Here is a 22,596-nt window from a genome sequence, read left to right as displayed (position 1 = left end):
TTGAGAGGCTGAGGCGGGCAGATCATCTGAGGTCAGGAGTTTGAGACCAGTCTGACCAACATGGTGAAACCACATCTCTACTAAAAATATTAAATTAGCTGGCTGTGGTGGTGCATGCCTGTAATCCCAGCTACTCAGGAGGCTGAGGCAGGAGAATTGCTTGAACCTGGGAGGCAGAGGTTGCAGTGAGACAAGATCACGCAATTGCACTCCACCCTGGGCAACAAGAGCGAAACTTCATTTAAAAAAAAAAAAAAACTGGAAGCCATGGCGGGGCCTTTAAGCAGGTGGGTGATGAGCCCCCTCTGGCTGTGGTCTACAGGCAGGCTGCTGGGGTAAGAGGGGAAGTTGGGATGCTGGGATCACAGTGGCTCAGAGGATGGGGCAAGGACATAAGGAGGTGTTGAGAGACAGAGCTGGCGGGGTGTAGTCGCTCACACCTGTAATCCTAGCACTTTGGGAGGCCGAGGCAGGAGGAACACTTGAGCCCAGGAGTTCGAGACCAGCCTGGGCAACATAGTAGGACCTTGTCTCTTATCTGTTTGAAAGAGAGAGAGACAGAGCCCTGTTGCCCTCCTGCCTTGTCCTGCCCTCCAGCCTACAGTCCTGTGCAGGCGGGGTGGGGTAGGGGGGTGCCCTCCTCCTTCCTGCTTTGCTTCTGGACCTGCATGCTGCTCTCTCTGGCTGGTCAACACCTGCTTGTCCCAGAAGCCTCAGCTGAAGTGTCAGTTCCTCTGGGAAGCCTTCCCTCCGCGGAGACTTAGAACTTGTCCCTCTCTCCCCTGGGACTCTTCACACAGCTTTCTAGTCCATTCCCAGGACCACTGGGTACCTGTCAGTTGGCCTGTAAGGAAGTGAAGGGTGGGGACACAGAGGCATGTGTCACGTTCACTTAGATCCTCACTGACCAAAAGGCAGGAGGGTTTCCTTAGGAAACAATGTAAACTTGTTTTCTATTGGGGTATAAAATCCACCTCAGGCCAGTGGTTATTCTCGATCAAGTGGGCTCCAGGAGGTCTGTCTGTCAGTATTAAGTGAAATGAGAGCCTCCCCTCCAGGCCTGGCCCCCAGTCCGGCCTCGCACCCCTTTCCCTGCCCACCCTCATGTTTTTGGTCTTTGGCTCATGACTGCACCGTCTCACCATGCTCTTGTCCCCTTCCTTGCAGGATGATGCTATATTTGGGATCCTTAACAAAGTGAAGCCTTCCTATAAATCCTGTGCCGACTGCATGTACCCTACAGCCAGCGGGGCTCCTGAGGCCTCCAGGGAGCGATGTGAGGACCCCAATGCTCCCGCCATCTGCACCCAGCCAGCCTTCCTACCCCACATCACGTCCTCCCCTGTGGCCCACTTGGCCAGCAGGTCCCGTGTTCCGGAGAAGCCAGCCTCTGGCCCAACCGAACCTCCCCCGTTCCTACCACCAGCAGGCTCCAGGAGGGCAGACACCAGTGGCCCTGGGGCTGGAGCTGCCCTAGAGCCACCAGCCAGCCTTTTGGAACCTTCCAGAGAGACCCCAAAAGTCCTGCCAAAGTCCCTCCTTTTGAAGAATTCTCACTGTGATAAGAACCCTCCCAGCACAGAAGTGGTAATAAAGGAAGAATCGTCACCCAAGAAAGATATGAAGCCAGCCAAGGACCTGAGGCTTCTGTTCAGTAATGAATCTGAGAAGCCGACAACCAACAGCTACCTGATGCAGCACCAGGAGTCCATCATTCAGCTGCAGAAGGCAGGCTTGGTCCGCAAGCACACCAAAGAGCTAGAGCGGCTGAAGAGCGTGCCTGCAGACCCAGCACCTCCCTCCAGGGATGGCCCTGCCAGCAGGCTGGAGGCCAGCATCCCCGAGGAGAGCCAGGATCCAGCCGCGCTCCACGAGCTGGGCCCCCTGGTTATGCCCAGCCAGGCCGGGAGTGATGAGAAGTCAGAGGCCGCCCCCGCTTCATTGGAAGGAGGCTCACTGAAGAGCCCCCCTCCTTTCTTCTACCGCCTGGACCACACCAGTAGTTTCTCAAAAGACTTTCTGAAGACCATCTGCTACACCCCCACCTCCTCTTCCATGAGCTCCAACCTGACCCGGAGCTCCAGCAGCGATAGCATCCACAGTGTCCGTGGGAAGCCCGGGCTGGTGAAGCAGCGGACACAGGAGATTGAGACCCGGCTCCGGCTGGCGGGCCTCACCGTCTCTTCCCCACTGAAGCGCTCACACTCTCTTGCCAAGCTGGGGAGTCTCACCTTCTCAACGGAAGACCTGTCCAGTGAGGCTGACCCGTCCACCGTCGCTGACTCCCAGGACACCACTTTGAGTGAATCTTCCTTCTTGCATGAGCCCCAGGGAACCCCGAGGGACCCAGCTGCAACCTCCAAACCATCAGGGAAACCCGCCCCAGAAAACTTAAAGAGCCCTTCGTGGATGAGCAAAAGCTGACCCGCCTTTTGCTGCGTCAGGCTGGGCGGATATTTTCATATGATCCCTCCCTCACTTTCACTGTGGATTTGGATCGACCCCTTACATCTTGATTTCCCTTAAACGAGTGAAGTCATCCTAACTTTTCCCCTACTCTTGCCATAGAGAGGAGGAGAAGAAACTAACCAACATGCAGCACAAGAAGGGGAGCTGTCAGTCGTGTGGCCTGGGAGAACCAGGAGCCGCCGGCCAGGAGACACAAAACTCCGCTCCCACCGTGTCTTCAAGAAGAACCATGTTTTAGGAAGAACGTGCACACATAGGCGCACACATCCAGACTGTTCCCTTCGCATCCTGCAGAAGAGTCCTGGTGGTGGCAGCCTCACCGCGGCACACGTTCTAGCTCATTCTTGGCCTCGCAGAAAACTCTCGGATGGCAACATTAAGTCCTACCTCTGTTCTCGCTGCGCTTTTTATTTTTAAAACACACGAATGACCAAGGCTTGTTCCAGGGAATAATGCTCTGTCTGAAAGCGTTTTTCCAAAAAAAGAATTTTTCGTTTTGTGTTTTGGTTGGGACCCCAGACGTGTCAAGACTTTTAACCCGACAGCCCCAAGCACTGCTGAGTAAAGTCATCAGATGAGTAGTCCCACGCTGTTGTTGAGCTGACTCTGTGCCCGAATGGTGGTGCAGGCGCCCTGTCCTGGTTGTGTTGTTACGTGTTTGACCAGCACAGGGGTCCGGTGGGGAAAATGTATGGGTTGTTCTCAGTTGTTGCTAATGCTGAAGTTTAAATCTCAAGGGGAAGGGCCCACCTGCATTGTTGAGTGTCTGCTGCTGAAACACATGATTGTGTTTAGGTTTGAAATTGCTCAAGTGTCTGGCTCAGGTGGTGGTTCTGAGACACATCGTCCTGCTGAGAGCCCAGATGCTTAGGTCCACTAGGGCCCATCTAGGGAAGGGAAAGGAGATTTCAGCGGCTTCCCCGAAAGGAACGGGACTGTCGGGATGCTTCCCGGATGTCTACAGTTGCCCCTTCCTGCAGTGAGATTACTGCTTCCTGTTTCCCTCCAGCTCTTCCCAGCAGCAGTGAGGGAGTATAAGAGGGATCTGTAGTCGCTGCCTGGCTCTGTGGGCGGCCCCTTTAAGACTCAGGTGAGCTCAGCCAGTCCCGCTGCGCCAGGCTTGAATCAAAGGTGTCAGCAAGCTAGATGTCAAAACATTTCGAGAGAGAGGCAGCTTGCAGAAAAGCAGAAAGGTTGAATTCAGGGGTCAGCAAACTATGGCATGTGGCCCCGTGAGCTAGGAATGGTTTTTCCTCTTTAAGACAGGGCCTGGCTCTGTCACCTAGGCTGGAGTACAGTAGTGCAATCATGACTCACTGCAGCATCAACCTCCCTGGCTCAAGCGATGGCTTTTACCTTTTTAAGGAGTTGTAAAAAAAAGAAATAATATGTGACAGAATTCATGTGGCCCACAAAGCCTGAGGTACTTACTGTCAGGCCCTTTGTAGAAAAAGTTGCTGACCCCTGGTTTGATTTGCCACACAGGGCTGCTCATGGCCCTGTAGGAAGAAACTGGGTAAATGTGAAGCCCTCTGCCTCTCTGACACCTAAGGCCAGACCCTTCCCTCCTCCCGACCACAAGCTTTGCCAGCCCCGCACTAGCCTCACCTGTGCAGGATGGAGTAGGTTGCGTACATGGGGGAAGGCAGGTGAACACAGTTGGCTGAAGCTCTTCCACAATTCCATCTTGCCCTCAGCTGGGTCCGCCAGATTAACTCAGTGAAACCAGAAAGCCTTCAAGGACCAGCTGAATTCTGAAAGTGAGTGAGTGAGCCATCATCTTAACATTGGCCAGAACTGTGTTCCCCAAAGCTATTCTAGAAAGCACCCCAGGAGGGATCTGCAGGAACAAGGCTAGTTCATATTTTACCTAGTGAGCACAGTTTTTGCAAAAATCCTCCCTCCAGGACTTTGTCTCCTTGGAGTGATTTTTAAAAATACATACATTACTTTATAGGGAGCTGTTTTCCCACTAGTGTCAATTAAAATCACCTTAAAAGGTGATTATCCACTTATTCCTAAACCCCTGTGGGTTGTTCCCCCTTTCCCTCAGCCAACAAAAGCATAGCCTCAAAAAATATCAAGTTCGGTATGTTTTGCCAAATCAAATTTCATGTGGTAGATCAATTTTTGTGTCAAAATAATCTTTTAAATTTAGTGATGACAGGCTTTTGTTGGTTTTTTAACCACGTCTATGTATGAGAATGATATATTTTTGAAAACTTTAATTTTGAAAGCCATAATTTTTCTTATCTAAAGAGTTGGGGGGTGGGGTGTGGAATCTGGAGAGTACAAGTTGGTCTTTGGCTTCTGGCAAACTTACCCATTCATTTTTGGAAGCACAGCTAGCATATCAACATCCAGACGAGAGCGCTGGTCCCGTCCACAGAGCAGAGTGAAGCATTCTGGACTTGATGCTTAATAGCCTGGCCTGGAGAAAAGGGTAAGGTTTATTTTTGGAAACCCAGATCAGTTGCATGTAAACAGATGGCACATGGCTATTTAAAATGCTGTATGATGGGGCCGGGCGCGGTGGCTCACGCCTGTAATCCTAGCACTTTGGGAGGCCGAGGCAGGCGGATCATCTGAGGTCAGGAGTTCTAGACCAGCCTGGCCAACATGGTGAAACCCCGTCTCTACTAAAAATACAAAAACTTAGCTGGGTGTGGTAGTGCGTGCCTGTAATCCTAGCTACTTAGGAGGCTGAGGCAGGAGAATCGCTTGAACCTGGGTGGCGGAGGTTGCAATGAGCCGAGATCGCGCCACTGCACTCCAGCCTGGGTGCAATGAAACTGGGAGTGAAACTCCGTCTCAAAAAAATAAAATGCTGTATGAACAAGATGAGCATTCTGTCAGGTGTCGGGACACCTGGGCAAAGACGAATTCATGCTGTCTGTGAAAAGGAAGTTTGCACTGTAACATATGCCATAGCTTGGCCCTTGCTTTGTATGCAACCTTAGCTGATGGGGAAAATTCCAAACATAAGTGGCACAGGAAAGAGGCAGGCAGAGGAGGCAGGGGTCTGTGCTGTGCAAGTCACTGGTTTTTTATGACTATCATTTTCATTGAATGCATTTGTTGAATTGGGACAAAAGGAACATTTTCTAAATCAGCTTGATACTCTTTATAAAAAACAGCTGAATCTTATCTTCTGCCTCACATTAATTCATGTGGCATGCCAAAAGTTAGACTGAACTTTTCTACATCTTCACCTTGCATTGATACAGGAAAGTCTTCTCTTTAAGTCTTGCTAAGTATAAGGGGGATAGTGGTCACGGGAAGAGGAGAACCGGGGCTGCTCTCGGATGGTAATTGACAATGCCGATTTCCATTTCTTTGTCTTACGGCTACTTCCGAGCCTTCTAGCAAGGTCCCTGGTTGCATGTATTTCCTAAGAGCAGAGTTTATTTCTCTTTACATTCCCTGCTTCCTTGCTCTCCATGCAGGGACCCCAGCCAACCTCTGGGCTGTTGAATAGCTCTCTGCTGGGTGGCAAGCCCTTCTCCTTGGCACCCTGTTGCTTAAGCATACAGATTGCTCACCAGGTGCACACAGACAGCTGTACTGTCCAAGCCCATTCTGCTCCACCCTGTCCTCTTCAGCTAAAGAGCATTCCAGTAATCTAAAGCCCTTTTCCCCTGGAGAAGTCCAGAGTTTGCAGCAGTGTGGAGCTGAGCTTGAACAGAACAGACCCTCAGCACGGCCCTGGACTAATGCACTCTTATCTGAGGGCAGTCCATTCTAGAAGGTTGATGAATTTCCCTACCACTCTCCTGGGGACCTTTTCTCTCTAGTGGGAACAAATGCTACATAATTTAGTCAAGATCCTATTAAGTCATCTCACCTGAGGCATCTGGAGAGGGAGTTGCCTTCCATTGGTGGGAAATTGTTGGTGCCAGAATACATTTTGCCCAAAACTCTTCTCATTGGCTGGCCACCTAGCAGGGCTCCTCTAAACACGCAACTCAGCGAGGGGACCCCCTTCACCTCTGGCAAGAGAGCTGGGTAGATCAGAAACTTGGTGACACCTGGCTAGCACAGAGCAGGCTCACTTGTCTTGGTCCCACTACCCAGATTCCTGCAGACATTGCAAACCAAATGAAGGTTGTTGAATGACCCCTGTCCCCAGCCACTTGTTTTGTTATCATCTGCTCTGCAGTGGAATGCCTGTGTGTTTGAGTTCACTCTGCATCTGTATATTTGAGTATAGAAACCGAGTCAAGTGATCATGTGCATCCAGACACACTGTGTCACCTGAGCCACAGAGCAAATCACCTTAACGATCTGGAATGAAACTGTGACCAGTGCCGCCCTGGGTGGTTCTGGAGAGACTGCCGTCTTCTTGTTTGGCCATAGGTGCTGGGGCCCCGGCTTCAGTCACTGTCTCAGACAGGAGTCCCGATAAGCAGATCACCAGTCCTCCACTGTCCTTCCTGTCGGCCTTGCTGCATGAGAAGATAGCTGCTTCCTCCCTCTTTTCCTACACTGTAATTATTGTTTTACAATTGAGTGCCTTAATAATAGTTTACAAATACTATGTATTTATGCAAAACTGTTAAAGTCTCATCTGTTATGATTGGATACTTGGTCTTGTCAGTAGTGGTCAGCATTGGGTTGTGAGCTTGTCCTACTCCATACGTGTTTATCCTGCTATGCAGTTTTACATTGTGTGTTCACATCTATTCCAAGGAGCCTTGCTAGAAACAACACTGGCGGTTCCTGCAGGCCAGGCAGGCATTGGCCCATGCTGTGTCCCATAGGAGCCAATGAAAGAACGTAGCTTGGTCTGCTAGCCAGCCGTGGGGTGGCGCAGGCCAGGCAGCCTCTGCACCAGAGTCCAGCACCTGCCCATTCCCCAGTCACACAATCATACTCTTCTTTCATAGAGATTTTATTACCACCTAGACCACCCTAGTTTTCCTCTCTGTTAGTGTCCTGAGCTCTTTTGCAACAAAATGTAGGTACAGACCAATCCCTGTCCCTTCCCCAATCAGGAGCTCCACACCATGAGTTGTTTGGTTTTCCAGAAGCTGCCAGTGGGTTCCCGTGAATTGCGTTAAGATATCGATGATTTTTTTTATTGTTTTTCTTCTTGTTTTTTTAAATAATATATTTAAAGGCAGTATCTTTTGTACTGTGAATTTGCAGTAGAAGATGCAGAATGCACTTTTTTTTTACTTCTGTTGGTGTGTATTGTATATAGTGTGTGTGCTTCTTGTGATGAAAATAAACTTTTTCTTTATAAATTCCTGATGACTGAGTTTATATAAAAGGAAACTGCTTCCTCAGCCCTTGCCAAAACAGTCTGATACATCGTCATCATCATCGTCATTGACATGGCCAGTCTTTATTGAGCATCTATTACATGCTCAGTTCTTTGCTAGAAAACCTGGACAAGTTACACCAAAGAAAGGACCACAGGAAGAAATGATAGTTCCTCCTGGAACTAGTCTGTTTTCTTTCTAATTTTGTCAGTAAGCAAGAACAGGCCCACCTGTGGGTGGTCCTTTGTGTACCAAAAAAAAAAAGTTACCCACCAGGAAAGGATTTGGACTTTGGGTGGGTTCTCTTCCCGTACAAGTAGGAAATGTAAAGCCAGAGGTGTGCACTAAAGAACATCTAACCTGCTCCCACCAGCCCTGGTGGGAGAGGGAGGACCCTGGAGGCTAAGTACTGCTGGTTTCCAAGGTGCATGCTCATGTCCCAGTCCACTTCACCCCAGGCAGCTTTTGGTGGCTCTTCTCCCTTGGACACTCAGGAGGCAGAGCTGCTTCCATTTTTTTTTTTTTAATTTTTTTTTTTTTTTTTTTGAGACTGGGTCTGGCTCTCTTGCTCAGGCTGGAGTTCAGTGGTGCCATCATAGCTCACTGCAACCTCGACTTCCTAGGCTAAAGTGATCCTCCTGCCTCAAGCAATCCTCCCACCTCAGCCTCCCCAGTAGCTGGGACTACAGGCGTGCACCACCTTGCCCCGCTAATTTTTACAATTTATTATAGACATGAAGTCTCGCTTTGCTGCCCAGGCTGGTCTTTAATTCCTGTCTTCAAGTGATCCTCCCACCTTGGCCTCCCAAAGTGCTGGGATTACAGGTGTGAGCCACCTCAACTTCCATCTTAAAATTCTGCCTCCTTAGAGTTCTTTGCTTTCTGCTGTGTAGTCAGGGAGGAGTCACATTCACTCAGTCTCCTCTGTCTGGATGCGATACATCATTTCTACTTGCTTTCCAGTGGGCAGGGCCCAGTCACAGGGTCCCAATGCAACAGCCAGGGAGACTGGGAAATGTATGGGGCACATGTATTTGGTGAGCACTAACTGTCACAAGTACCTGGGCGTGACCCCTAAATTCCAGTGCCTGCAGAGCCAGGAAGTATTTTGTTCAGTTCATCTGGACTTGCTCTGTCTCTCAACTGGACTCAAAAGACTGATGAATAAACCAGAATGCAAGTTTATTACTTTACCAAAAGAATTATAATCATCAAGCAGACCAGATTGCTCACATGCTGATTAGCACATTTAGTCCTGCTAGGTAAGTCTTTCTTTTTTTGAGACAGCCTGGAGTGCAGTGGCAGTCATGGCTCACTGAAGTGTTGATCTCCTGGGCTCCAGCAATCCTGCCTCAGCCTCCCAAGTAGCTGGGACCAGAGCCACACACTGCTGCACCCAGCTAAATTTATTTATTTATTTATTTAAAAGATAGGGTCTCACTATGTTGCCCAGACTGGTCTTGAACTCCTGGTTTCTGATGATCCTCCTGCCTCAGCCTCCCAAAGTGTTGAGATTATAGGCATGAGCCACTGTGCCCAGCCCCTTCTAGGTAAATCTCTATGGGGTGCCAAATTTTGGTTAAGAATTGCTTATTGAATATTAAAAGTTTAGTGGGATGCTTCTTTTTTTTTTTTCTTTTGAGATGGAGTTTAGCTCTTGTTGCCCAGACTGGAGTGCAATGGTGTGATCTCAGCTCACCGCAACCTCTGCCTCCTGGGTTCAAGTGATTTTCCTGCCTCAGCCTCCCGAGTAGCTGGGAATACAGGCATGTGCCACCACGCCTGGCTAATTTTGTATTTTTAATCGAAATGGGGTTTCTCCATGTTGGTCAGGCTGTTCTCAAACTCCCAACCTCAGGTAATCCACCCGCCTTGGCCTCCCAAAGTGCTGGGATTATAGGCATGAGCCACCGCGCCAAGCCACAGGATGCTTCTAATAGTGTTATCAAGCTATAATGCAGCCCTCTCTGTAAAATGTTTTAAAAACAAATCACTGAGGGTCATGGTTCAAGACACTGTTCTCTGGCAAGGTTGAAGATAGCTAACAAATTCTCTTTGGGTTCCAGCCATGAATGGGGTGGGATGGGCCCCAGCAATCTGTATGTTTCTGAGATTCCCTGGGAATTCTGATGGCCAAGTTTAGAAACCATCAAAATAAGAATATGATGCAACTGAGTAGGCTCACGCTTTGCTAATTACATTGCACACATGCTTTTTGGAGACAACACCCACACTACCCTAACAATGTGTGTTCATAAAACTCATCCGATACTTATTTGTTCAAGGCCCTAGGACAATATTCCTGTAATGGGCTGCTTTTGCCCTGATTTCCTCCTCAGAGTAACTGTCTCGCGGTTGGGCACGATCCCAGATCACATCTACAGTGGAGGTGGTTTTGCTGGGGAGGATCCGCATGCTTGTTTGTGTTTATGCCTGGGGAACCCCCTCTTGGCAAGATGTTCGGGAGAGGCTCCAAAGGCAGCACAGAGGACGGCTTGGAACTTAGGGGGATTCACTTTATGGTAAAGAAGCCCTTTCTAAAGGAGAGCTCCACCCAGGAAACACCACCCACCCACGCATCCTTGCCTCCTAAAACCAGGTTATGTTTATCACATACCTTCTATGTGCTTTACATAAAGAATCCCCTGGAATTCTCCAAACTGGGCATTGTGGTCTGTGATGCATATCTCAAAAGAGGTGAGAGGGTTGGGCACGGTGGCTCACGCCTGTAATCCCAGCACTTTGGGAAGCCAAGGCAGGTGGATCACTTGAGGTCAGAAGCTCAAGACCAGCCTGGCTCACATGGTGAAACGCCGTCTCAACTAAAAATACAAAAATTAGCCGGGCATGATGGCGGGCGCCTGTAATCCCAGCTACTCGGGAGGCTGAGGCAGGAGAATCGCTTGAACCCAGGAGGTGGAGGTTGCTGTGAGCCAAGATTGCACCACTGCACTCCAGCCTGGGTGACAGAGTGAGACTCTGTCTCAAAAAACAAAAAAAAGAAAAAAAAAGGTAGAGGAGAGTCCTTTTTCTAACTTTCTTGAACTCTTTGGACTACCTTGGGATCCTTCTATTAACTGCCTTGTTGGCATTATTCTCAGTTTATGAAAAAACAGGCCCACAGAGTGGAAGTAATTTGCCTACAGGTACATCTAAAAATTGATGAAGCCAGATAGGAACTGCTCCCTCATCATCTGAAACCCTTCCCAGAGCTGTCTCTCCCACCCCAGAAGTAGAAAGAAGCCAGACAAAGATGCATCTTGATCTCCCTTGTGGTTTCAGCAAGGAAGCAGATGAGTTGGAGATGAAGCCCCCAGCCCCTGGGAAATTGGACCCACTTCTTGCTCCAAAGGCTATTGGGGTGACACAAGGTGTGTTTCTTTCCCGTAGATCATATTCACCATATTTTGCCTTTAAATGGAAATTGTGCATCCTGAAGTACCTTGTTAAGAGTCCATTTTCAACCTGAAATTCCTTTTTTTTGTAAACCACTTCAGCAAATACAGTGTGGCATTTACATTAGCAACCTCCCAGCCTAGGAGAGGATGCTCCAGCATCCGACTCTAAAAGACAAATTTGGGCACGGTGGCTTGACGCCTGTTATCCCAACACCTTGAGAGGCCGAGGCAGGCAGATTGCTTGAGCCCAGGAGTTCAAGACCAGCCCAGGTAACATGGTGAACCCCCATCTCTACCAATAATACAAAAATTAGCCAGGCATGGTGGTGTGCCAGTGGTCCCAGCTACTTGAGTGGCTGAGGTGAAGGATCTCCTGAGCCTGGGAGGCAGAGGTTGCAGTGAGCCGAGATCGAACCACTGCACTCCAGCTTATGCAACAGAGCAAGACCGTGTCTCAAAAACAAATAAAAATAAAAGATTTTAAAAAGACAAATTATCCCACAAATGGTACATTGTGGTGGTGGTGGTGGTGGTGGTGGTAGACCTCCCTCTTGCTCTTGAAATTGGATCAGAACAAACTGACAATGCTACCTACTTCATGGGGTCATTGGTGAATTCACTGATAATGCATGCAAATCCCCTTCTGCCTGGCACACTACCTAATAAATAAATGGTGGTTGTTATTGTTGGAATTGGAGGATATATTCCTAGTTGCAAGGGTTTCACATGTATTACCAAGTTAATCCTCACCGCAGATATGATTCTGTTTTACAGAGGAAGCAGTGGATGCTCAGAGAGGTTAGGTAACGTGGGTCAGGGACACACAGCCAGGAAGGGGCAGAGGCTGGGAGTGCCTGACTCCAAATTCATGCAATTTCTACCCCACCATCTTCTCCCCAAGGAAAATAGTCCCTAATGCATGTGTGCAATGCTTAGAGGGCAGTAGATGCTCAACAGATGCTGAGAGAGTGAGGGAGTAAATGAGATATGCCATGAAAAGGAGCCCCTGTGGACTTATGCGTGCGTTTGTTTAACTTGTGGGCAAGTACTTATAGACAGGTGCAAACAATAAATCTCCTTTTGCAACTGAGAACTTGTTGTTCAGTATGAGTTTTGATACATATAAGAAAGGCTATTATGATACCTAAGACAGTTAACTAAGGGAGGGAGTATTGATAACCATAAGTGTTAGTTGCAGGCTGGGCACAGTGGCTCATGCCTGCAGTCCTCTCACTTTGAGAGGCTGAGGTGGGAGGATTGCTTGAAGCCAGGAGTTCAAGACCAGCCTGGGCAAGAAAGCAACACCCCATCTCCACAAAACTTTAAAAGTTAGCTGGGTGTGGGGGCATGTGCCTATAGATGTAGCTACTCTAAAGGGGAGGCTGAGGCAGGAGGATTGCTTGAGCCCAGGAGTTGGAGACTGCAGTGAGCTTTGATGGCACCACTGTACTCCAGCCTAGTCAACAAAGTAAAACTTGTCTCTTAAAAAAAAAAAAAAAAACAAAAAAAAAGGTTCTAGGACTGTAGAATCATTAGCTTAAAAGCATAGGATTTGAGGGAAAACCTCAGTTATATTAATTTCGTATTCCAATTTCATGTTGACTTGATTTTTTATAAAGATCTTTTTTAAAAAGGAGCCCCTGCTTCATTTGCCAAAGCTTGGAACGTTTGGGGACACCCATGACTGGCTAAACCAAGTTCCACTGGGGCTGGGGCCATGTCTCAAGTCACTTCTGAGACTGGCAAGGGCCTGGCATATTGGGACTGAACCCCAGGTCGATGCTAGGCATTTGCTGTGAATCAAAGAATCCTGAGTTTTTCAGAGTCCAGAAGAATCTGAAAGGTCAACCAAGCCAAGCCCTTTATAACATCCACTCATTCTGGCATTCCTCTCTGGTTCATGGAGCCCCTGCTGTGGGCCAGGCACTGAGGAAAAGAAGAGGCAGTCTATGTCATCCCGGGGATCCTGACAGAAAGCCCTCTGTGAAAGAAAGAAAACTCACCACCTGCTAACAGCAATGGTTTAGACAGGGAGGATTCAAGGCTTATTTTGTTCCTTCTTTTGTCTGTCTTCCAAAATCTCTGCAACAGAATTATGTTACTTTTTTTTCTTTTTTTTGAGATGGAGTCTCGCTCTGTTGCCCAGGCTGGAGTGCAATGGTGTGATCTCGGCTCACTGCAACCTCCGCCTCCCGGGTTCAAGCAATTCTCCTACCTCAGCCTCCCGAGTAGCTGGAATAACAGGCATGCACTACCACACCTGGCTAATTTTTGTATTTTTAGTAGAGATGGGGTTTTGTCATGTTGGCCAGGCTGGTCTCAAACTCCTGACCTCAGGTGATCCACCTGCCTTGGGCTTTCAAAGTGCTGGGATTACAGGTGTGAGCCACCACATCCGGCTTTTTTTTTTTTTTTAGACAGAGTCTCTCTCTGTCACCCAGGCTGTAGTGCAGTAGCCCAATCTTGGCTCACTGCAACCTCTGCCTCCTGAGCTCAAGTGATTCGCCTGCCTTAGCTTCCCGAGTAGCTGGGACTACAGGCACATGCCACCATGCCTGGCTAACTTTTCGTATTTTCAGTAGAGATGGAGTTTCACCATGTTGGCCAGGCTGGTGTCGAACTCCTGACCTCAAGTGATCTGCCCGTGTCGGCCTCAGGATTATGTTACTTTTATAATTTAAAAAATGTGGCTGGACACGGTGGCTCACGCCTGTAATCCCAGCACTTTAGGAGGCCGAGGCGGGTGGATCACGAGGTCAGGAGATCGAGACCATCCTGGCCAACACGGTGAAACCCCCGTCTCTACTAAAAATACAAAAAATTATCTGGGCGTGGTGGCAGGTGCCTGTAGTCCCAGCTACTCGGGAGGCTGAGGCAGGAGAATGGCGTGAACCTGGGAGGCGGAGCTTGCAATGAGCCAAGATCGCGCTGCTGCACTCCAGTCTGGGCAACAGAGCGAGACTCCGTCTCAAACAAAAAACAAAACAAAACAAAAGCTTATAAAAAATGTGGCTGGGCGAGATGGCTCATGCCTATAATCCCAGCACTTTGGGAGGCCGAGGTGGGCGGATCACGAGGTCAGGAGTTCGAGACTAGCCTGGCCAACATGATGAAACCCCGCTTCTATTAAAAATACAAAAATCAGCCAGGTGTGGGGGCAGGCACCTGTAATCCCGGCTACTCAGGAGGCTGAGGCAGGAGAATTGCTTGAACTCAGGAGGTGGAGGTTGCAGTGAGCCGAGATTGTTCCACTGCACTCCAGCCTGGGTGATAGAGCAAGACTCCATCTTGGGAAAAAAAAAAAAAAAGGAAAGATTTAATAAAAGAATTTTTTTTTAAATTGAGCTAAAATTTGCTCTCTAAGCTCCCAGGCCCGTGGCTCTAGAAACTCAGTAGAGCATTTTTGTGGAAGGCTCTTTCCTTCCCTCCCTTTGATGGGGTTGCATTGGTCCCCAGGAACAGAGTACCTTTGGATCGCTGTAGCTCTCGGGTGCCAGGCAGGGGCTTACTGTCTTGGGCTGTCAGCTGCTCTAGGTTGCTTGTGCCCACCCTTCTGAGTGTCTGAGGGTGGCAAGGGAACTGCGTGCTGTGACAATGGAAGTACAGTGCCCAGGGCTGGCTTCAGGGCAGTTGCATAAATTTGCGAAGACCTTGCACTTGGTTTTCATGTTCTGCTGTCACCATCTTGAAATTTCTCATCATTCTTAAACAAGAGCGTGGCCTTTTTGTTTTGCACTGGGTCTAGTAAATTATGTAGCCAGTCCTGGCAGCATTACCATTCGATCAAGGGTTTTGGAGCAAGACAGTCCTAGGTCCCAATTGCAGCTCCTTAATTTACACATTCAGCTACTTGGGACAAGTGACTGAATCTCTCTCCACCTCAGTTTCCCCATTTGGAAAACAGGAATAACCTCCTAGTAGTATTATAAAGACTAGCACTGTTGGTCTTTCCCTCTCGAAGTCCCCTCTCTCTCGCTAGAGAGAGCTGTTTTCCTTTCTCTTTCTTTTGCCTATTAAACCTCCGCTCCCAAACTCTTCATGTGTGTCCATGTCCTAAATTTTCCTGGTGCGAGATGACGAACCCCAGGTATTTACCCCAGACAACATAGCAGCTTCATAATGGGGACCTTGTCCGGATACCAAGGTACAACTTTCATCAAAACGGTGAGTAGAGGAGCAGACTCCACCTCTGACCTTTCATCTCAGGGCTCTCAGCCTCCATTTTAGAACCAAGTCAAATCAATAATGGGTATCCATCAGCCAGTTAAAAACACGGTTAGTGTGGCTGCCATTCTTAAAGACTCGGACGTCAGTCTTACTGGGGAGAACATGGAGAATCCTCCAGCACCCGTGGTTTGCTGGACATGTTTGAACCAGCATCCTTTCATGGAGAACTTAGCCGTCACGTGGGGCTGGGAGAGGTTTTGGAGCAACTGAGGATTTCTGGCTGGGGCTACCCCAGGTGTTATCCAAAGGCTTCTAGACTGACCCAGGCCTCCAACTGCCCAACGGGGTTTTGGCAGCAGGATCTCCAACTTTGCGTTTTGTTTGTTTGAGACAGAATTGCTTGAACCCGGGAGGTGGAGGCTGCAGTGAGCTGAGATCACGCCTCTGCACTCCAGCCCGGGCGACAGAGCAAGGATCTCCTATCCTCTCTGTGTATGCAATGTGCGGGAAGTTTACAGTTCAGGGAAGTAATCTTGTTCGCTATGTAAATCAGACACCGCCTCCTCAAACCTGACTATAAAATCCAGTGCATCCTCCGCTGGTGGCTCTTTTCCTCTTAGAAGTCTCCCCTCTCTCACTAGAGAGACAGAGCAGTTTTCCTTTCTCTTTCTTTTTCTTTTGCCTATTAAACCTTCGCTCCTTAAAAAAAACAGGGTAGCACTGTGTAATTAACACAAAGTAAATGCCCCTGAATCTTTATATTCTTTGTTTATAGAAAGTATTTAGCATAAGTAGCACAAAGTAATCCCTCAATGAGTAGTTGCTATAATCGTGGGGAAGACAGGCCGGCCCCCACAGGCCAGGCCTTGCTGACAGGTGGTTTCTCGTCCTACCTGGCAACTCCCTTAGCATCTCCTGGAAGAGCCAATGGATGCAAACCTGAGCTCATTGAAGGAGGCGCTCAGCTAGGATTTGCACTATGTCCTCCCACTCCCCTGCCACTGACCCCAAGAGGACATGAGGTCTGCCTCTCTCCAGACAACAAACACCATTTGTCCTCGACCTGGACCTGACCAGTCTTTCCCAACAGGCCTTCAGGGAGGGGAAAGGCATGGGCGGCCTGTGCGCGTGGGCTTGTCCCTGCTGTGATCCAAGTTACATCCTGTTCTGGCGTTGCTATGGCACAGCCAAAAACATCTGCCACAACAGACAGCTGGGACTGGCGGTTGGCAGCAGGGCTTGGATGGGCTGGGCTGGAAAGCGTGCAAGACTGAGCAAGGCCAGGAGCTGGGCAGTGATCTGGGACAATGCCCCGATACCACCAAACACACGCATACACACACACACACATGTGCATACACACATACACGTGTGCATACATATACACACATATACACACATGCACGTGCGCATACACACACACATGCACACACACACGTGCGCATACACACACGCATGCATACACATGCATACACACATGCACGTGCGCATACACATACACAGATACACACATGCACGTGCGCATACACATACACAGATACACACAGACATGCACGTGCGCATACACACACGTACACATACACACACATGCACATGTGCATACACATACACACATGCACATACATGCATACACACATAGGCACGTGCACATAAACATACACACACATACACATGCACGTGCGCATACGCATACACACACGCATACATGCACGCATACATACACACATGCATACACACACACACACACACACACACATGCTCTATTTAGGAGGCAAGTTGGACTTCTAGGACAAGAGTTCCTAATTCTTCCTAGGAAAGGTTTCTAATTCTGCCTTTTTTTCCTGAAGTTCCTGAGAGAAGACCTCAAGTGCATAGCCCTAGAGGGACTGGGCCCTCTGAAATTCTTGCCCTCATCTAGGTCCCAGCCAGGCCCACAGAATCGCCCAAGGCCCTATCCTGCTCCCAAAATGGAATTCGCTTTCCCTGTTGTTGTTATTGCTGGTGTTTTTCCTGATTAGTAAAACACAGTGATTGTAACAAAATCACATGATGCAGAGGAGTGATAACAGCTGTGCTTATGTGGCATGAGCCAGCTGCTGTGCCACATACCTCTCATTAACAAAATATACGTAGAAAGTGTTTAGAACAGCCCCTGGCCCTGGTAAGTGCTCTACACCATACCCGTAATCCCAGCACTTTGGGAGGTCGGGCAGGTGGATTGCTCGAGCTCACAAGTTCGTGACCGGTCTGGGCAACATGGTGAAACCCTGTCTCTACAAAAAATACAAAAATTAGCCAGGTGCGGTGGTGAGCACCTGTAGTCCTAGCTACTCAGGAGGCTCAGGTGGGAGGATCACTTGGGCCCAGGACATTGAGGCCACAATGAGCCATGATTGTGCCACTGCACTCCAGCCTGGGTGATACAGTGAGAGACCCTGTCTCAATCAATCAATCAATTAATCAATAAAGTAATTGTCAGGATGATCTGATTTTCTATGACAAGTTAGTGATACAGGTATTAATAACACAATATCTAAAAGAGGAAGTGAGGCTTGGAGAGGTGACATCACCTGCCTAAGTTCACATGATGAGTGTCCTACCTGGATTTGAACTCAGGTTACACCAATGCTAAAGCTCTAAGCTCAGAATCTCCCCCCTCCCCCACCCTTTATGCAGCTGTCCTTAGTTCTTGAACACCTGTTGCTCCTTTCTCTCCCCCAGCCACAGCCCTGACCTCATTCCTGCTGAAGGCCCCAGGGGCCTGGCTGAGGTCACAGTTTTGGCCACAGATCCACAGAGGCGACACCCTGTCTGAAGCCACTGCGGATTCTTTTCACTAGTTTGTCCTGTACTCCTGGGCTCTGAGGGTCTTGGGAACTCTCTACCTGTCCTCTCCCAAAGCATGGACTTTGGGATATCACCCCTCTTCTCTCCCTGCCCACTTTCTGTGCCCTGTGGTAGGGGCTCGCTGGGATTATAACAGTAATCATGAATGACAGAATTTTTTCTTTTTTTTTTGAGATGGAGTCTTGCTCTGTCGCCCACGGTGGAGTGCAGTGGTGCAATCTTTGCTCACTGCAACCTCCGCCTCCCGGGTTCAAGCAATTCTCCTGCCTCAGCCTCCTGAATAGCTGGGACTACAGACACGTGCCACCACACCCGGCTAATTTTTGTATTTTTAATAGAGACAGAGTTTCACCATATTGGTCAGGCTGGTCTTGAACTCTTCACCTCGTGATCCACCTGCCTCAACCTCCCAAAGTGCTGGGATTACAGGCGTGAGCCACTGTGCCCAGCCATTTCCTTTTTTAACAGACGGTTTTGCTCTGTCACCCAGGCTGGAGTGCAGTGGCACGATCACAGCTTACTGCAGCCTTGAACTCCTGGGCTCAAGCGATCCTCCCTCCTCAGCCTCCTGAGTAACTAGAACCACAGGCATGTGCCACCACACACAGCTCATTTTTAGTATTATTATTTATAGAGATGAGGGTCCCCTATGTTGCCCAGGCTGGTCTTGAGCTTCTGGGCTCAAGTGATCCATCTGCCTTGGCCTCCCAAAGTGGTAGGATTTACAGATGTGAGCCACTGCACCGGGCATGGATGACATTTCTTGAGCCACACTGGACCAAGTGAGCCTTATTATTACTAATTTTCAGATGAAAAAACTCAGAAGTTAAATGTCTTACCTAGATGGCCCAGACAGAATTCCAGAGCTGCCTCTTCCAGGAAGCTATTCCTGACAGCCCCTCCCCTAAATGCTGAAGAGATAACTATTTAGTATGAGCACCCCATGGATATGCCCAGGACTGTGAGCTCCCTGAGGGCAGGGGCTGGGTCAGGTTGATTGCTGTCTGCCCTATACCTGATATAATAAGTGCTCAATAAATACTTGTTGAATGACTGACTGACTGACTGAACGAATGATAGGGCTGATCTCTTTTCTCCTCTTGGGTCCTGAGAAGTTTGGGGAATCAGGCAAGTCTGAGTTTGAATCTTTGCTCTGCCACTTCCTGGCTGTGTAGTCTTGGCCCAGTTACCTAACCTCTCTGAGCCTCTGTTTCCCTCTCTGCAAAATAGGGGTACAGTCTGTGGGAGGGTTGGAGAGGACCTACAATGACTGGCACATAGTAGGTACTCTATGAACAGCCCTGTAGAGAGACAGTTCAGGTCCTCCCTGGAGTCAGCCTGTCTGGGGTTCAAACCTCAGCTCCAACACTGACCGAGTAGTATGACCTCGGACAAATCACTTTTCCTCTCTGGACCTCGTCTTCCAAATACTTCACTTGGGGATAATATTAGCACCAATTACTTGGCTGTAGTAAGAACTAAAGGAGGCAGTCCGCATAGTAAATCCTCCATCAACACGGGCTTCTGTGACTTAGGGTGAGCTCCTGGAGGACAGACAGGTGTCCCGTTTTTTCCACCCCACCCCAGAACCTTGCTCAGTGCCAAGCACATAGTAGGGGCACAGATTGCTGAAGGAACTGAGTCTCCATTTCTGTGGCTATTGGGTGCAGACCCGGAGAGCCAGGGCAGGTTTCCAGAATGCCCTCCCCCAACAGGCCGACTCTCCCGTGTTTGTCCATCTCATCTCCCAGCTAGCTGGAGGCAGAGCAGCAGCCCAGCCCTGGCCTTCTGTGCCCAGCCTGGTGGGGGCCAGCGGCAGCTGCTCCTCCAGGGGAGCGCCTCCTGATGGAGGCTGGAAGGAAGGGAGGGCTGGGGAGGTGGAAGCCCCTCCAAAGTTAGCCCAAGGCCCCCAGGGGAACATGCCCAGCCCTGGCCTTCTGTGCCCAGCCTGGTGGGGGCCAGCGGCAGCTGCTCCTCCAGGGGAGCGCCTCCCGATGGAGGTTGGAAGGAAGGGAGGGCTGGGGAGGTGGAAGCCCCTCCAAAGTTAGCCCAAGGCCCCCAGGGGAACATGCTACTCAGAAAGGAGAGCTGGGGTTCAAGTCTACCAACCCTACTTATAGCTGTATGACCGTAGACGCCTCGCTCCACCTCTTTGAGCCTTGCTTCCTGTACCGTGGGGCTGGTGGCCTCATAAGGTTGTTAGGAAGCAGGTGAAGCATGAAGCATACAGTAAGTGCTCCATAAATGTACCGGTCATTGCTGCCCCTCTGACTTGTTGCAGTATAGCACCTGTCTTCTACAGATGGGGAAACTGAGGCCCAGAGAGAGGCAGTTACTTGTCCAAGGTCACAGAGCCTGTCTCTTGCTGGTTCCAGCTTCGGCCTTAGCCATTCTCCCTGCTCAACCCAAAGCTCAGCAGGGATGGGCTCCTGGGTGGACCAGGCAGGGGGTTCCCTTGGGCTGAGGGGGCAGGAAGGTAGGGGTGGAGGAAGGGTTCAACAAAAACAGCCCCAGCTGGGGGCTGTGGCTCACGCCTGTAATCCCAGCACTTTGGGAGGCCGAGGCAGGCGGATCACTTGAGGTCAGGAGTTTGAGACCAGCCTGGCCAACATGGTGAAACCCCCTCTCTACTAGAAATCCAAAAAATGTCCGGGCATGCAGCACACCTATAATTCCAGCTACTCAGGAAGCTGAGGCAGGAGAATCACTTGAACTTGGGAGGCAGAGACTGCAGTGAGCCGAGATCACGCCGCTGCACAGCTCCACTGCACTCCAACCTGGGTGACAGAGTGAGACCCTGTTTCAAAACAAAACAAAACAAAACCAGAAACAGCCCCTTTGCTGCAGGCCTCCGGGATGCCAAACACTTTGGTTGTTTTCTTATTAATCCTGAAAACACTATTAAAATGGTATTATTCTTAGCATTCCCATTTTACAGATGAGAAAACTGAGGTTCAGAGAGTTGCCTAAGCACACAATGGGAAGAGGGAGGCTCTTGACCCCAGCCCCAGATCTGTCTGTTGAATGAAGGAAGAGATAGTGTCCCATTCAGGGGTGCACAGCGAGCTCTGTGGTTTGGTGAGTTCAGTCTGTCTCCCCGACCCCCAGATGACAGGTGAGAGGAGGACACAATGCCAGCAGCTCTTGGGCTTGGGATGTCATAGAAACTTCCAAAGAAAGGGGAAGAGAAAGCCCAGTCACCCTCGCCCCACCCCCACAGGTCGCAGAAGCGGCTCAGGGATGGCAAATGGGCGTGGAGGTGGCCTCCGCAGCCCCAGGGGGCAGGGCAGGGACGCTCTGTGCCAGATGGGGGTGCCAGGCGCTGCCTCCAGCGACCACGCCCACAAGGTGCTCTGCTGCCTGCCGGACCTCTGCGCAAGTGCCTTCGGGCCGATGCAGACGCCCACTGCGCCACTTCCCCCGGGCTCCGGGGACCCCCTCCATCCGCCCGGCCTAGCCCTGGAGGCGCGACGCCCCGTCGTGTACCGTCTGGAGGAGGTGGCGCGCTGCCTGCACCTCCTGGAGCTCTCCAGCTCCGAGGGTCCCCGCTGCAGGCCCGGAGTGTCTGCCGGCCTCCAGGTGCACAGGCTCCAGAGCGCCCCGCAGGGGACTCCGGGAGGCGCCTCTGCCTCCGATTCCCCTAGAGGGGACCGGCCAGTCCCAAGGTCCAACAGGAAGAAGGCAGAAAACCCCATCCGAAAAGGTGAGCGCCTTTCGGGGGCTTTCTTCCCTCCATTGGACCCACAGATTCTAGGCACAGTTATCCCGGGGGGCATCCGTGGGTCTGCATTCTCAGTATTGCTGTCCACTTGCCCTGTGGTTTCTGACAAACTCCTGGCCCTCTCTGACCCTCAGTTTCTTTATCTCTGCCACCAGAGATAAAGAGATTGGACTTTGGTTTTTCACTCTTAAAACTGAAGACAAGACCTCATTTCTGTGGGAGGAGGGCTCCACCTGTGGGATTATAAGGACAGCATCTGGGCCATACAAATCTTTTCCCTTTCCCTAAAAAAACTAGCTACGGAGCTACTTCTAGGGTTACAATATCTAACTCTTACAAGAATCCTCCCCGGGAAATGCTGTTACTCCATTTTATTGAAATGAAAACTGAGGCCGGGCACGATGGCTCACGCCTGTAATCCCAGCACTTTGGGAGGCCGAGGTGGGCGGATCACTTGAGGTTGGGAGTTTGTGATCAGCCTGGCCAACATGGTAAAACCCCGTCTCTACTAAAAATACAAACATTAGCCAGGCGTGGTGGAAGGCACCTGTAATTCCAGCTACTCTGCAGGCTGAGGCAGGAGAATCGCGTGAACCCAGGAGGTGGAAGTTGCAGTGAGCCGAGATCGTGCCATTGCACTCCAGCCTGGGAGACAGAACAAGACTCTTGTCTCAAAAACAACAACAACAACAACAAAAAACTGAGCTTATAGTGAGTGGGTTCAAGTTGC

The 22,596-nt window shown here is 49.9% G+C and overlaps 1 protein-coding gene and 1 non-coding gene across 15 annotated transcripts in view, besides 3 other annotated features; both read left to right on the top strand.

Moving 5' to 3' along the window:
- Nucleotides 1-12,221, top strand: part of SSH1 (slingshot protein phosphatase 1) — a 79,393-nt gene extending 67,172 nt beyond the window's left edge. For all 14 annotated transcript variants that reach the window (XM_047429022.1, XM_005268985.3, XM_047429023.1 and 11 more), the window contains one exon: nucleotides 1,168-12,221. In XM_047429022.1, coding sequence (XP_047284978.1) covers nucleotides 1,168-2,424 — 1,257 coding nt within the window. In that variant the 3' untranslated portion in view covers nucleotides 2,425-12,221. The remainder of the gene's footprint in view (nucleotides 1-1,167) is intronic.
- Nucleotides 12,141-12,268, top strand: LOC124900333 (small nucleolar RNA SNORA40). Its single transcript, XR_007063635.1, has one exon. It is a non-coding gene; the product is annotated as a small nucleolar RNA SNORA40 (small nucleolar RNA).
- Nucleotides 18,167-18,276: an enhancer, noted in NCBI's record as "active region_6978". NCBI's record gives its function as "activates an Ori minimal core promoter by ATAC-STARR-seq in GM12878 lymphoblastoid cells {active_cell/tissue: GM12878}" and the evidence as "EXISTENCE:reporter gene assay evidence [ECO:0000049][PMID:35858748]".
- Nucleotides 19,535-20,035: an enhancer, noted in NCBI's record as "H3K4me1 hESC enhancer chr12:109164153-109164653 (GRCh37/hg19 assembly coordinates)". NCBI's record gives its function as "activates a minimal SCP1, AML or CMV promoter by ChIP-STARR-seq in primed H9 embryonic stem cells {active_cell/tissue: H9 hESC(primed)}" and the evidence as "EXISTENCE:reporter gene assay evidence [ECO:0000049][PMID:30033119]".
- Nucleotides 21,593-21,662: a silencer, noted in NCBI's record as "silent region_4833". NCBI's record gives its function as "represses an Ori minimal core promoter by ATAC-STARR-seq in GM12878 lymphoblastoid cells {active_cell/tissue: GM12878}" and the evidence as "EXISTENCE:reporter gene assay evidence [ECO:0000049][PMID:35858748]".

The sequence above is a fragment of the Homo sapiens genome, chromosome 12 (genome assembly GCF_000001405.40).
Source record: "Homo sapiens chromosome 12, GRCh38.p14 Primary Assembly".
NCBI lineage: Eukaryota > Metazoa > Chordata > Mammalia > Primates > Hominidae > Homo > Homo sapiens.
The sequence above is the reverse complement of the archived record's forward strand: the minus strand, read 5'-3'. Positions and strand labels throughout refer to the sequence as shown.